Below are 15,040 nucleotides of genomic sequence, written 5' to 3'. Positions count from 1 at the left end.
TGGATAAGACATACTGATTGGGCAGTTCAGAGAGATAGAATAAAATCGACTAAGCCTGAGCAGATAGACTTTGGAAAGATACAGAGGAAAGTCACATATGACTAAATATGCATAATGGGAAAACTAACAAGGCTTGCACACAGTGTGTGTGTTTGCACACAGTGTACAATATAATTATATGTTGATTTTACTTGCTGGAAATGACTAACATAGGAAAGGAGGTAGGTGAGGGTCAAACAAATAACATTTTACAAACATTTAAAGAAGTCAGTACTTTATCTTCTTTCCTACTTTATTGGGTCCAGAAGGTGAAGAAGTCTTTAAATTACTGTTTGAAAGATCCAGATTGGAAGAAAAATGTGGTGGCACTTCATCGTGTCAGTAAGTTACTGAAAGATTGTGAATCAATTCTCTGGTGACTTTAAGAAACAGGATTTTAGGGCTGTTCCAAATCCTTCATCTTTATACATAAGAAAAACTGAGACTGAGAGGACACAGCTAATAAATATCAGAGTCAAGATTTGAACTTCCTGTCTGAATATCACAGTGGGAAGGGATCTGAAAGATCATCAATCCCGGTCAGACAGCAGAATCTGTTTCCAGCAACTTTTTATTAAGAAAATGTCCCGGTGGCCAGGCTTGGTGGCTCACACCAGTAATCCCAGCACTTTGGGAAGCCAGGGATGGTGGATCACCTGAGGTCAGCAGTTGAAGACCAGCTTGGCCAACAGAGTTGAAGACCAGCTTGGCCAACAGAGTTGAAGACCAGCTTGGCCAACATGCTGAAACCCTGTCTCTACTAAAAATACAAAAAATTAGCCAGACATGGTGGCAGGCACCTGTAATCCCAGCTACTTGGGAGGCTGAGGCATGAGAATCTCTTGAACCTAGGAGGGGAAGGTTGCAGTGAGCCGAGATCGCACCATTGCTCTCCAGCTTGGGCAACAAGAGCAAAACTCCATCTCAAAAAAAAAAAAAAAAAAAAAAAAAAAAGAAAAGAAAAAGGAAAGAAAAAGAAGGAAAAAAAAACGTCCTGGCAAACAGAAAAGTTGAAAAAATACTGCAGTGATATACTTACCATTTGATTCAACAATTGTCATCATTTTGCATGGTTGTTTTATCTATCCTCTATGCATATGTATGCATCAATATAGGTACAGTTAATAGTAAGCTGAAAGAAAGTTCCATAGATCGTTGACTTTAAAAAAATGATTTCCATGCCATGTGCCCTGTAGAATGTCTTAAATTTTGGCTTAGCCTATTGTTTTCTCTTGATGCCATTTAACTTCATGAGTGAACTCCCATTCACAATTGCTTCAAAGAGAATAAAATACCTAGGAATCCAACTTACAAGGGATGTGAAGGATCTCTTCAAGGAGAACTACAAACCACTGCTCAAGGAAATAAAAGAGGACACAAACAAATGGAAGAACATTCCATGCTCATAGGTAGGAAGAATCAATATCATGAAAATGGCCATACTGCCCAAGGTAATTTGTAGATTCAAGGCCATCCCCATCAAGCTACCAATGACTTTCTTCACAGAATTGGAAAAAACTACTTTAAAGTTCATATGGAACCAAAAAAGAGCCCGCATTGCCAAGTCAATCCCAAGCCAAAAGAACAAAGCTGGAGGCATCACGCTACCTGACTTCAAACTATATTACAAGGCTACAGTAACAAAACAGCATGGTACTGGTACCAAAACAGAGATATAGATCAATGGAACAGAACAGAGCCCTCAGAAATAATGCCGCACATCTACAACTATCTGACTTTTGACAAACCTGAGAAAAACAAACAATGGGGAAAGGATTCCCTATTTAATAAATGGTGCTGGGAAAACTGGCTAACCATATGTAGAAAGCTGAAACTGGATCCCTTCCTTACACCTTATACAAAAATTAATTCAAGATGGATTAAAGACTTAAACGTTAGACCTAAAACCATAAAAACCCTAGAAGAAAACCTAGGCATTACCATTCAGGACATAGGCATGAGCAAGGACTTCATGTCTAAAACACCAAAAGCAATGGCAACAAAAGCCAAAATTGACAAATGGGATCTAATTAAACAAAAGAGCTTCTGCATAGCAAAAGAAACTACCATCAGAGTGAACAGGCAACCTACAAAATGGGAGAAAATTTTCACAACCTACTCATCTGACAAAGGGCTAATATCAAGAATCTACAACGAACTCAAACAAATTTACAAGAAAAAAACAAACAACCCCATCAAAAACTGGGTGAAGGATATGAACAGACACTTCTCAAAAGAAGACATTTATGCAGCCAAAAAACACATGAAAAAATGCTCATCATCACTGGCCATCAGAGAAATGCAAATCAAAATCACAATGAGATACCATCTCACACCAGTTAGAATGGCAATCGTTAAAAAGTCAGGAAACAACAGGTGCTGGAGAGGATGTGGAGAAATAGGAACACTTTTACACTGTTGGTGGGACTGTAAACTAGTTCAATCATTGTGGAAGTCAGTGTGGCGATTCCTCAGGGATCTAGAAGTAGAAATACCATTTGACTCAGCCATCCCATTACTGGGTATACACCCAAAGGTCTATAAATCATGCTGCTATAAAAACACATGCACACGTATGTTTATTGCGGCACTATTCACAATAGCAAAAACTTGGAACCAACCCAAATGTCCAACAATGATAGACTGGATTAAGAAAATGTGGCACATATACACCATGGAATACTATGCAGCCATAAAAAATGATGACTTCATGTCCTTTGTAGGGACATGGATGAAATTGGAAATCATCATTCTCAGTAAACTATCACAAGAACAAGAAGCAAACACCTCATATTCTCACTCATAGGTGGGAATTGAACAATGAGAACACATGGACACAGGAAAGGGAACATCAGGCTCTGGGGACTGTTGTGGGGTGGGGGAAGAGGGGAGAGATAGCTTTAGGAGATATACCTAATGCTAAATGACGAGTTAATGGGTGCAGCACACCAGCATGGCACATGTATACATATGTAACTAACCTGCACATTGTGCACATGTACCCTAAAACTTTAAGTATAATAATAATAAAAAAAAGAAAAAGACCATAGTAAAAAACAAACCACCACGCTGTGTGCTTCTGTTTTTCTCGTTTGTTTCTTCCAACTGATTTTGAATTGACAAATAAAAATTTTATATATTTATGGTGTAAAAAAAAAAAGAAACTTCTTCCTCTTAAACTGGAGTGAGGTACACAAGCTTGGTTGGATTCAGGCTAAATATTTCTGGAAGATTGTTTTCTAGATGATGTGCCAATAGAGTTGAATTCAGTACCAATTCTGACCAATTGATGTTGCTGCAAGAGCTCTAGCTGATAAAGTCAAGTGCTATATCATAGCTCAGCAGAAAGTGGTGACAAGATAAATTTGTTTTGGGCGTAGGTGGGAGTGGAACCAACTTCATAGTTAGGAGAAACAGGGAAGAACAGAATACTTTTTAAATTGAGGTAACTGTAGATTCAGATGCAGTTGTAATAATTTGTTTGTATGTGTGCATGTGTATATGTTTATTTAGTTCTATACAATTTTATCTGACGTACATTGGTGTATTCACCAAGCCAGTCAAGATACTAAACAGATCCATCCCAACAAAGACCCTACATGTTGCCCTTTTATAACTCTCTCCTCCCATTCCCTAAAACCTGTAATCACTGATCTGTTCTTCATTTCTAAAATTTTGTCATTTCGAAAATGTTATAGAAATTGAATGTTATATAATGTTTAGGGATTAGCATTTTTAGTCAACATAATTACATGAAGATTCATCAAAGTTGTTACATATATAAATAGTTCATTCCTTTTATTGTTGAGTAGTAATCAATGGTATGGATGTACCAGTTTTTTTAGCCATTTTACCTGTTGCTAGACATCTGTGCTGATTTTGGGTTTTGGCTATTACAAACAAAGGTGCTGTGAACATTTGTGTATAGGCTTTTTTGTGAATATAGGTTTTTATTTATCTGAGATAAATGCCCGAGAGTGTAATTTCTGGTCTGTATGGTAATCCCATGTACAGTTTTTTTTCAGTTTTTTAAAGAAACTACCAAATTGCTTTCCAGAAAGATGACACTATTTTACATTTTCACTGGCAATCTTGATGAGTAATCCAGTTTCCTTATATCCTCAACAACAGTTGGTGTTTCTGCTATTATAATTTTTATTTTAGGTATTCTGGTAGGCGTGTATCTCATTGTGGTCTTGATTGGCGTTTCCCTAATAACTAGTGATGTCGAATAGGCTTCATCAAGTGAGCTAGAAGAGAACATGCAAGCTTGTTGTTAATTCTTCTTAAAATATTTGTAAAATTCTCCAGTGGAAGCACGTGGGCCCAGAAGTGTCTTTTTCAAGAGTTTTAAATTTATGAATTCAACGAATTTGAAGGCTATAGGGCTAGTCAGATTATCTATTTCACCTTGATTGAGTTTTCACGTTGTGTAGTTTTTAAGGAATTGTTTCATATTTTCTAAGTTATTGACTTTATGAGGATAAAGTTGTTCATAATATTCCTTCATTTTCCTTTTCATGGCTGTAGGATCTGTAGTGATATCACCTACTTCATTTCCAATATTGCTAATTTGTGTTTTCTCTCTTTTTATTATTGTCAGTCTAGCTAGAGGTTTATCAATTTTGTTGATTTTTTTTTAAAGGGCCAACTTTTTGCATGGATTTTCTATTTGTTTTCCTAATTTCACTTTCATGGATTTTTGTTCTTTCTTTATTTTTTTTTTTATTCTGCTTGCTTTGGGTTTATTTTGTTTCATTCTTCCTTAGTTTCTTGAAGTAGAACAGATTTTTGACTTGAGACCTTTCCTTATTCCTAATATCAACATCTCATATTGTTTCCCATTCAGCTCTGTCTTATCTGCATCTCATATATGTGGATATGCTGCGTTTTCATTTTCATTTAGTTGGACATAATTTTTAAATTTTCCTTTGAGGCTTCTTTTTTGATCTATAAATCATTTAGAAGTAAATTTTCCTTTGAGGCTTCTTCTTTGATCTATAGATTATTTAGAAGTGTATGTTTAATTTCCATGTCTTCTGAGATTTTTGTGTTTTCTTTCTGTTATTGATTAATAGTTTGATTCCATTATGGTCAGACAAAACACTTAGTATGATTTCATTTATTTTAATTTGTTAAGGTTTACTTTATGACTTCAGGTACAGTCTATCTTGATGAATGTTCCACAGGCACTTTAAAAAATGTGTACCTTGCTGTTGTTGTGTGATGTGTTCTATAAATGTCAATTAGATCCTGTTGGTTGATTGCGTTGTTCAAATCTTCTGTCTAAGTTCTATCAGTTGCTGAGGGTGGGGAGGTTGAGGTCCCCAACTATAATTGCAGTTTTATCTACTCCTCTTTTAAGCACTATCAGTTTTTGCTGTATGTATTGTGAGACTTTTTATGTATGCACACATTTAAGAAACAGTCATCTCTCAATATCCACAGGAAATTGGTTCCAGGATTCCTGAGGATATCAGAATCTGTGGCTGCTCAAGTCTCGTATACAAAATGGTATAGTATTTACATATAACCTACTTTCTTATATACTTTAAATCATTTCTAGATTACTTATAATACTTAATGCTATGTAAATGCTATGTGAATGTTATGCCGTGTTGGTGTTTTTATTTGTATTATTTTTTATTGTTGTATTGTTATTTTTTATTGCTTTTTTGTTCAAATGTTTTTGATCCACCATTTGTTGAATCTGTGGATGCAGAACCCATGGAGGGCTGACTTATTTATGTCTTCTTAATGGATTGATCCATTTATCATTATGCAATTTCCTTCATTATCTATGGTAGTTTCCTTTCCTCTGAAGACTACCTTATCCGAATACAGCCATGTCTATTTTTTTAAATCCATCTTTGCATGATATATCTTTTTACTTTCAGTCTACGTTAATGAATTTCAACTGATTTTCTTGTAAAATATTGTTGAAGCTTGATTTCTTAATCCACTGCTAATCTCTGTCTCTTAGACTACTGGCATTTGGCATAATTATTTTTATGTTATGGCTTAAGTCCACCATTTTATTAATTCTTTTCTATTTATTCCCTCTGATGATCATTCCTCTGTTTCTGTTTTCTTCTGAGATGTTTCTGTTTTCTTCCTTTCCTTTGAGTTACTTAAACATCTTAGGATTCTGTCTTGACTTATTTAGAGTGTTTTTGGGTATACCTCTTTACATGATATTCATAGTGATTGCTCTAGGCATTACAGTATACATATGAGACATAATAGGTACAGTATCAACATTTTACCTTTTCCAATGAAGTATAGAAGCTTCATTACCATTAAAGTCCCTGTACTTTTCCCTCTTTTAAATATCACTGTCTTGAATAGCAGATGGTGTTAGAATTTGTGTTTCAATCATCAAATATGATTTATAAAACTCATGAGATAAAAGATAGTTTATTATATGCACATGTTTCTACTCTTCCTCTTGTTCCTTCTTCCTGATATTTCAAGATTCTTTCTTCTATCTTTTACTTTCCATTTAAAGAAATTTCTTTGCCGGCTTTTAAGGGTAGGTCTGCTAGGAACAAATTCTTTTAGTTTTTTCTTATCTAAGAATATCTTTATTTCTTCTTTATTTCTGAAGAATAGTCTCACCAGATATAGAAGTCACAGTTGACAGCTATTTTCTTTAAGCTATTGAAAAATGTTGTACCTCCTCCTTCTGCTTCCATGGTTTCAGATGAAAATTCAGTGTCACTTGAATTGGTGTTCCTCTGCATGTGATGTGTTCTTTCTCTCTGACTGCCTTCTAGATATTTCCTTTGTCTTTTGTTTATAAGTGTGTGATTATGATGTGTGTTCCTTTGTTTTATCCTGTTTGGGATTTGTTCAACTTTTGGGATCTGTAAGTTTGTATTTTTTTTTAACCAAATTTGGGAAGTTTTCAGCCATTACTTATTCAAATACTCTTTCATTCCACTCCCTCTTTTCCCTCTGGAATGCTGATCCTATGAATATTGGATCTTATGACATTGTCCCACAGGAGCCTGAGTCTCTATTCAGTTACTTTTCCAGTATATTTTCTCTCTGTTCATATTGGGTAAATTCTATTGATCTGTCCTTAAACCTAGTGGCTTTATCATTTTTGTCTCCACTCTATTATTGAACCTATCATTTCAAGTTTAAAATGACACTTTAAAATTTTTATTTTGTTAAATTTTTTCAGTTCCATAATTTCCACTTGGTTCTTTTTTATAACTTCTATTCCTTTACTGAGATTTTCTAATATTTTATTTGTTTCCAGAGAATTTGTAATCAACTGCTGAAGCATTTATATGGTCCTATTTAGAACATCCTGGGATGCTCCTACTATGTGGGATCTTTTGGAGAAAAAAATCCATACCTGAGCAAGTGGAGAGAAGGGACCAGATTCAGAGGATACCCATAAAATGATCTGCAAGGGAAAACAAGTTTCTGACCAAGCACGGTTACAACCACATCTTCCTGGGACAAATGAGGACATGTATCAATTCCTCACCAACCTTCCATACACCCCAGGCTTACCTAGGAACTGCCTTCAGCACACCATGTCTACCAGAGTGGCGGTATATAATCACTATTCAACTCCACAGCCAGAGAGAGGTGCAGAAGCCATCACAGGAAATGACTAGATGCCCCTGAGCTCTCTGTTGCTGCTGCCGTGCGGGTGACTGGGAATCACATAGTTAACTAAAAGCTTTTACTCAGCTTAATTTCCTCTACTCTACATGATAATTGCTCTGTTCATTTTCGCTTTACCTTTAAATTCAGGGCACATGCACAAAGACATAATGGTGTAAGAGTGGAAAAGAGAAGATGTATTTTCTAAGCTGCCTGCAGTCTGACAATTGTTTGAATGTGTGTGTACATTTAACAAGATGGTAGATTACAGCATTACCTTATCTTCAGGGTAAAACTGCCATTCAGGATCCAAAAATCTCCTAATGGTTTATTGAAATGGTTCCCTCTTGCAATGCATCATCACAGTAGTTTATGATAAGGAGAAAAGTATGTTCTGATACAAATCAAATAATGCCAAATACAAAGAGTTGTAAGAGAAATAGCTCACTTGGGAGATAGAGAGAATTGAAGAAAATGTATTGGGTGAGAGACGCTAACTAGACCTCTGGAAAGAGAAGTCAGCAATGACCCAAATGGGATACTTGATTCTCTTCAGTGGTCAAAAACCCTCAGGAGAAGGATAAATAGGTATTTATTATTTGGTATAGGACATGATATTTTGAAATACCTATATATTATGTAATGGTTAAATTGAGCTAATAAAATAAACATGTATAAACATCTAACAAGCATGTACAATGTGTTGTATAACAGATATCTTGGACTTATCCCTTTTATCTAACTGAAATTCTATATCCTTTGACCAACATATATTAATGCTATGGTTTAATGCTTTTTAGTTAATTTAATACTCCATACATGTATTAGTCTATCCAAGAGATAAAATTAAACCTTCCTGAAAAAAATTCTTACATGGCAAAGACAGCATGTGCCTCGGTGATGCAGTTCAGGGGTTATTTGCATGGAACTTAAAAGACACAAGCTGGTAGTGCACACTTACACTGTGTTTGGGGAGTGCTAGAGAGCCAGGAGGCAATCCTTTACCAACCAGCAATCCCTTCTGTGTGAAACTTCCATTTATGAAGCCTTATTCTGGATTACTATTTCTGACTTTTGGCGTTTCCAAACCAGGGGAGTATGGGAGTTTGGGATCAAGAACATTAGAATTGCAAAGTAATTCAGATTGTTTCTTACTGATTCCAAACAGAAAATTAAGAAGGTTCTGAACATTAAGATGGAAGATCAAACAGAAAAATGAAAAAATAAAACCTAAAAAACAAAAACAAAAAAACCTTCCTGGTATGTTTCCTGTACCATCTGCCCACCCAAACCTGGTCCTCTCACTGTTCCCCACCTCAGGGGATGGCACCACCCCAAGCACAGGTTTTCATGCAGAAATCTGAGAGGTGTCCTTGACCCTCTTTTCCCTCCTCCTCCTCTCACCCATATCCAATCAGTGGCCCAACTCTGTTGGTTTTATATCCTGATAGCTTTTCATTTTTTTCTTTTGAAAAATTATTATTTTTTAATTGACAACTACAAATTATAGGGGAAAAGCTCCATGAAATGAGTCTGGGCAATAATTTTTTTAATGAAATTCCAAAAGCACAAGCAAGAAAAGGGAAAAAGACAAGTGCTATTATCTCAAACTAAAAAGCTTCTGCACAGCCAAGGAGACAATGAACAGAGTGAAAAGACAACTTACAGAATGGGAGAAAATACTTGCAAACCATACATCTAACAAAGGGTGAAAATCCAAAATATATAAGGAACTCAAACAACTTAATAGCAAGAAAACAACCCAATTAAATGGGCAAAGGACCTGAATAAACATTTCTCAAAAGGAGACATACAAATGGCCGACAGATACATGAAAAGGTGCTCAACATCACTAATCATCAGGGAAATAAAAATTAAAACCACAATGTAATATTACTTCATACCTTCTAGGACAAGTATTATCAAAAATATGAAAAATGACAAGTGTTAGCAAGGATATGGAGAAAAGGGAACACTTGTATACTGTTGGTGAGAATGTACATTAGTACAACCATTATGAAAAACAGTACAAAAGTTCCTCAAAAAGTTAAAAATGGAACTACCACATGATCCAGCAATCCCATCTCTGGGTATATAGTCAAAGGACATGAAATCAGTATGTCGAAGAGATACCTGCACTCCCACGTTCACTGAGGCAATATTCGCAATAGCCAAAATATGAAATCAACCTAAATGTCCATCAGTAGATAAACTGATAAAGAAAATGAGGCATATCTACACAAGGAAATACTATTCAGCCATAAAAAGTAGGAAATCCTGTCATTTGCAACAATATGAATGAACCTGAAGGACGTTATGATAAGTTATTATTATTATTATTTTTTATTATACTTTAAGTTCTAGGGTACATGTGCACAACGTGCAGGTTTGTTACATATGTATACATGTGCCATGTTGGTGTGCTGCACCCATTAACTCATCATTTACATTAGGTATATCTCCTAATGCTATCCCTCCCCCCTCCCCCCACTCCATGACAGGCCCCAGTGTGTGATGTTCCCCTTCCTGTGTCCAAGTGTTCTCATTGTTCAATTCCCACCTATGATTGAGAACATTTTGCTAAGTTAAATAAGCAGACACAGAAAGACAAATATTGCATGATATCACATATATGTAGAACATAAAAAAGCCAAACTCATGGAAGCAGAGAGTAATATAGTGGAAACCAGGGATTTGGGGACAATGGTTGCGTTTGGGGAGATGTTGGTTAAAGGATTCAAATTTTCAGTTTCATAGGAATAATAAAGTCAGGAGTCTATTATACAACATGCTGACTATAGTTAATAACAATGTATTGTACATTGAAAATCGCTGAGAGTCGATTTTGTGTTCTAATCACAAAAAGACAAGTAGGTGAGGCAATGCATATGTTAATGGAAAGAATATGGAGAAAAGGGAACCCTTGTACATTGCTGGTGGGAATGTAAATTGGTACAGCCATTATGGAAAACAGTAGGTAGGGTCCTTAAAAAATTAAAAATAGAACTATCATATGATTCAGCAATCCCACCTCTGAGTATATAGCCAAAGGATATGAAATCAGTATGTCAAAGAAATACTTGCACTACCAAGTCCCATGTTAATTAGCTCAATTTGGCTATTCCACAATGTATACTTCAGGATATATATATATATATATATATATATATATATATATATATATATATATATATATATAATGGAATGGCCAAATTGAGCTAATAAAATAAACATGTATAAACATCTAACAAACATGTACAACATGTTGTATAACAGATAATCTTGAATTTATCCCTTTTATCTAGCTGAAATTCTATATCCTTTGACCAACATATATTAATATCCCCAGCCCCCCACATGCCAACCCCTGGTAACCATCACTCTACTCTCTGCTCCTTTGAGTACAATTTCTTAGAATTCACAGGTAAGTGAGATTGTGCAGTGACAGCTTTCAATGTGTCAGGTCTCGTTTCCACCATCACCTCTCTAATTCAGTCATCTTCATCTCTGCAGGAAGTAGCGTCAGGACTGGTCTCTCCTGAATTCAGGTTTGCAATCCTCCACTCCTTGCAGTCTGACAAGCAGAGAGAATTTCTTCAGAGACAAAACTGCTGAGATGCTCCTTGGCTGAAAGCCTCCATGGCCTGCTACTGCTATTTCTTAGGATGACCTACAAGGCTCAGCATGTCTGTGCCTTCATCTCAGGCAACTAGGGGTCCCCTCTTGGTGCTGCCAAAGCCCTCTCTTGTGATTCATGCTCCTTAGAGTTAGTTGTACAACATGGGGGATTATTCTCTACTCAAACTCTTGTTTTTTAGCTTCATTACCCTTCTTAAGCTCTCTTAATATGCGATGTCTTTTACCACTTGCAGTCATCTGCACAGGCTGTTTTCTCTTGGTCCAGAACAACCCTTGCTCTTTTAGATGGAGATCTTAACTATCTGCCTCAGAGTAGATCTGCAACAATTGCTTTCCATTCATTGGCACCCTGTTCTCTCTGAACATTGATCACATTTGTGCTTACACAGTTAGATGAGACATTATTTGTGTGACTGTCTCTGCCATTAGATGGAAACCCATGATTGCAGGACTATGATCTGCCATGCTCTTGGCACCATGCCTTACACAGGGAGGGGCTCAGTGTTTGTCAAATGAATACTTTATCTGGGGGAAAAAAGTCAAAACTAGTTTACAAGGAGGCATCAGGGAAGGATAATATTGATGGTTTCCTAGTGAGAAGGGATAACAAACAGAAATTAATTGTGTGCTGCCTTTTAATTAGATACATGTAAAAGGTCATCATTAGGACTGGCTGGGAATCTTTATTATTATATTGTAGCGAGCGCAACATATCTATAAGGCTTTAAGGGTCCCCAGAAGACTCCCATCCCTGTTATTTTCTCACCCGATTTAGTTTCCTCAACTGCGACCTCTGCTTCTCTGTGTGAAGTCTCCTTGCTCTTTCAGACCAAGGAGACTTTCAGACCAAGAGAAGAGTCTGTGCAAATGTCTGCAGCAGTGCTTCTCAGCCCTGGCTTCACCTCTGGGGAGTTTTTCTAAGACACTAATGCCCTTGCTTTACCCCCTGAAATTCTGATGTAATCGTTTAGAGTGAGTCGCAGGCACCCTGGGTTAAGAAACGCTGACTGACATTCTATACCATTTGCGAATAACTCTTCAGGGAAATGCCCAATACAGGAAAATTGGAAGTTCATTTATTTATTTACTTATTTATTTTTGGGACTGGATGGACAAAGATTTACCTTTTAGTCCATTAGGCCAATATACTTCTTAAAGTAACTCAGAAGAGAGATAAATGCACTCTCTCGAATAAACAATTAAAATAATTAAAAATCACATATAGGTTTGGTGCAGCAGCATCACTCTTGAGCTGGCTGAGTTCCCTGAAATATCTGTCCCCACAAGTCAAGCTAAGCCTTCTCCTGAGCCTCTCCCCAAGGGATCCTGCCAGCCACAAGATCTCATTTCTCTGACACCTGCTGCCACCATCTACAGCCCTCTCCAGGTAGGAATAGAAGCTGTTCAGTCACCTTTCCTCTTCTCTACCTCTTTCTTTCCCCCATCTCTTCCCTTTTCAAAGACTATTCTTTCCCTAAAACAACTGAGTAATAGCAACACATGTTGTCAAACCAAACACACACACACACACACACACACACACACACATACACACACACACACACCCCTAGAGGCTCCAATCAAGGAAGAAAGAAAAGAGCAGGCACCATATTCGAGGGAACATCAAGTCATCCAAATGTAATTAGGAGTTTCTTTCTCAGCCAGGACTTTTAATTGTTGCTTCTGCTCCTGAGCACCCATCTGCTTTTAGAAAAGGGTGTCCTCTGCATCCGTGAGCTTTCCAAATGCCCTTCAGCCTATCAGAGCGTCCTACTACATTGCACTTGTCGTATTGGGATTCTTGAATATTGAAAATGTCAGCCCAGCCTTTGCTTTGAGAATGAAAATAAAAAAGTAAATGTGATTTTATAAGGAGTTTTCATAAGAGTTATTGTCAATAATGGGAAAATATTGTCCCAAAGATTATAATAAAGGAAAATGAGTAGCAAGTGTATGGGGCCTACTGCCTTGAGAAACCAAGTGGAACTTGCCTCATCTTGGCTCTTGTGGATAGGCAATCAGGGGCCAATGCTCCTCAGTAGAAATGCACTCTCAAATGTAGCTTAACAGAGGATTTGTTTTTATTAAAACCTTGAACATAAAGATAGTTTAGAAAATTGCCACTAAAGAGGCATCGAGAAGGAGGTGTAGCAGCAGATGAGCAAATCCAAGCCAACGAAATCCACATTTGCCTTTTGGTAACACAGTAGGTCACACAAATATAATTTTCCATTTTATCCAGTCTATGTGGTACTTTTCCACTTTCTTTGGAATTACACCTTTTTTTTTTTTCTGGCCAGTCCCCAAATAGTATGCTTTCTGCAAAACTTCAATTTAAAATGGTTTTAATATTACTACTTACCAAAGAAGCAAGTCCCATGGCTACAGTTAAGGCAAGTATGGGAACCAAGAAAAAAAATAAAATTAGCTCCTTCAAAAAGGGAAAAAGTACGATCTCAGTTCCTAGTTGGATATTCATTTATTCATGTACTTATGAAGTACCCCATTATATGCGGGTCCTCTGCTCCATGCTTGGACAGCTGAGATTAGGGACAGCTGCACAAACTCCAGTCTATACAGCCACATGCCAGAATTGAGGGCTGAGCAGATTGCTAAAGAGTCATGGAAGAGGGAGAGGTTATCCAGTAGAACCAGATTACTCCATTCCCTGGAGCTGTCTAACCCTGCCATTTTGAGCTAAGCCTCTTGCCCTGCCTGGTCCTACTGAATTAAAGAGGTATTAATCTTGCATTGTTCTCTCTCGACAGTCATTGAGATGTGTGGGAGCTCTAGAGCCAGACAGTGGAATCTGGATGTTGGATCTGAATTTATCAGCTCTAGGCCGAGTGCGGTGGCTCATGGCTGTAATCTCAGCACTTTGGGAGGCTGATGTGGGTGGATCACCTGAGGTCAGGAGTTCAAGACCAACCTGACTAATATGGAAAAAGTAAAATGAATTTATTAGCTCTGATTTGGTCAAACTTTCTTTTTTTTCTTTTTTTAATTTCTCTGTGTCTCAAGTTCCTCACCTGCATGATTGAAATGATAGTGCCAAATCCATACAATTTTTGTGAAAAAATTGATGCCTTCAAGAGAACTCAGAACAGGGCCTACCATTAAGTGCCCAATAAATATTAGCAATTATTATTGCACATATTGGTCCTTTGGCATAGGACCATATTCTATTTTAGATTAAGAATGTGTGTATATGTATGTATGTATATCATGTTCAACAAACTCCTTTAAGACAGAAAATAGATTTTATTTTTCTTCATACCGTTAGCCTAGCACTAAGATTTAAAGTGGATTAAGGATGATGACAGCAGAAATGTTTTATTTTATACAGCATTTTCTTTTTAGGATGTTATCGGGGTATTGATATTTCCTCAAACATATCACCAAAATGAAAAATTTTGCCTCTAAGAGGTGTCCCCTGAGGATTTCACTTTGGAGAATCAGAGGAACGTGGTGAGAACTTCGATATTCAGCATTAATTTTGCAACTGGCTCCAAGACCCAGTCCTGAGCTCTCGTTGCCCAGACTGTTGACTTTAGGCTAACATTTTTGTGTCTTAGGTTTCTAATCCTCCTCTTTGTTTTTGGATGCTTCTCTTCATTACTCAGATTTGCTTAAAAGAGCATGACACCAAATTATGTAGTACAAGTACATTGTCTTTAGCTCTGGAGATGCCATCCTGAAAATTCCTGGGAACTCTCAGCAGTAACTGAATCATACTGTC

General features: G+C 36.9%; 1 protein-coding gene and 1 long non-coding RNA gene across 5 annotated transcripts in view; one reads left to right on the top strand and one right to left on the bottom strand.

Annotated features, from left to right (window-relative positions):
- Positions 1 to 8,080, top strand: part of LOC105375870 (uncharacterized) — a 29,091-nt gene extending 21,011 nt beyond the window's left edge. Inside the window, exons 2-3 of the long non-coding RNA XR_928951.3 lie at positions 5,488 to 5,553; positions 7,307 to 8,080. This is a non-coding gene — a long non-coding RNA (uncharacterized LOC105375870). The remainder of the gene's footprint in view (positions 1 to 5,487; positions 5,554 to 7,306) is intronic.
- Positions 1 to 15,040, bottom strand: part of CLVS1 (clavesin 1) — a 536,782-nt gene that overhangs the window by 143,142 nt on the left and 378,600 nt on the right. The gene's annotated exons all lie outside the window — the stretch shown is intronic.

This window comes from Homo sapiens, chromosome 8 (assembly GCF_000001405.40).
Source record: "Homo sapiens chromosome 8, GRCh38.p14 Primary Assembly".
NCBI classification, from domain to species: Eukaryota; Metazoa; Chordata; class Mammalia; order Primates; family Hominidae; genus Homo; species Homo sapiens.
This window is presented reverse-complemented; position numbering and strand designations above follow the sequence as displayed.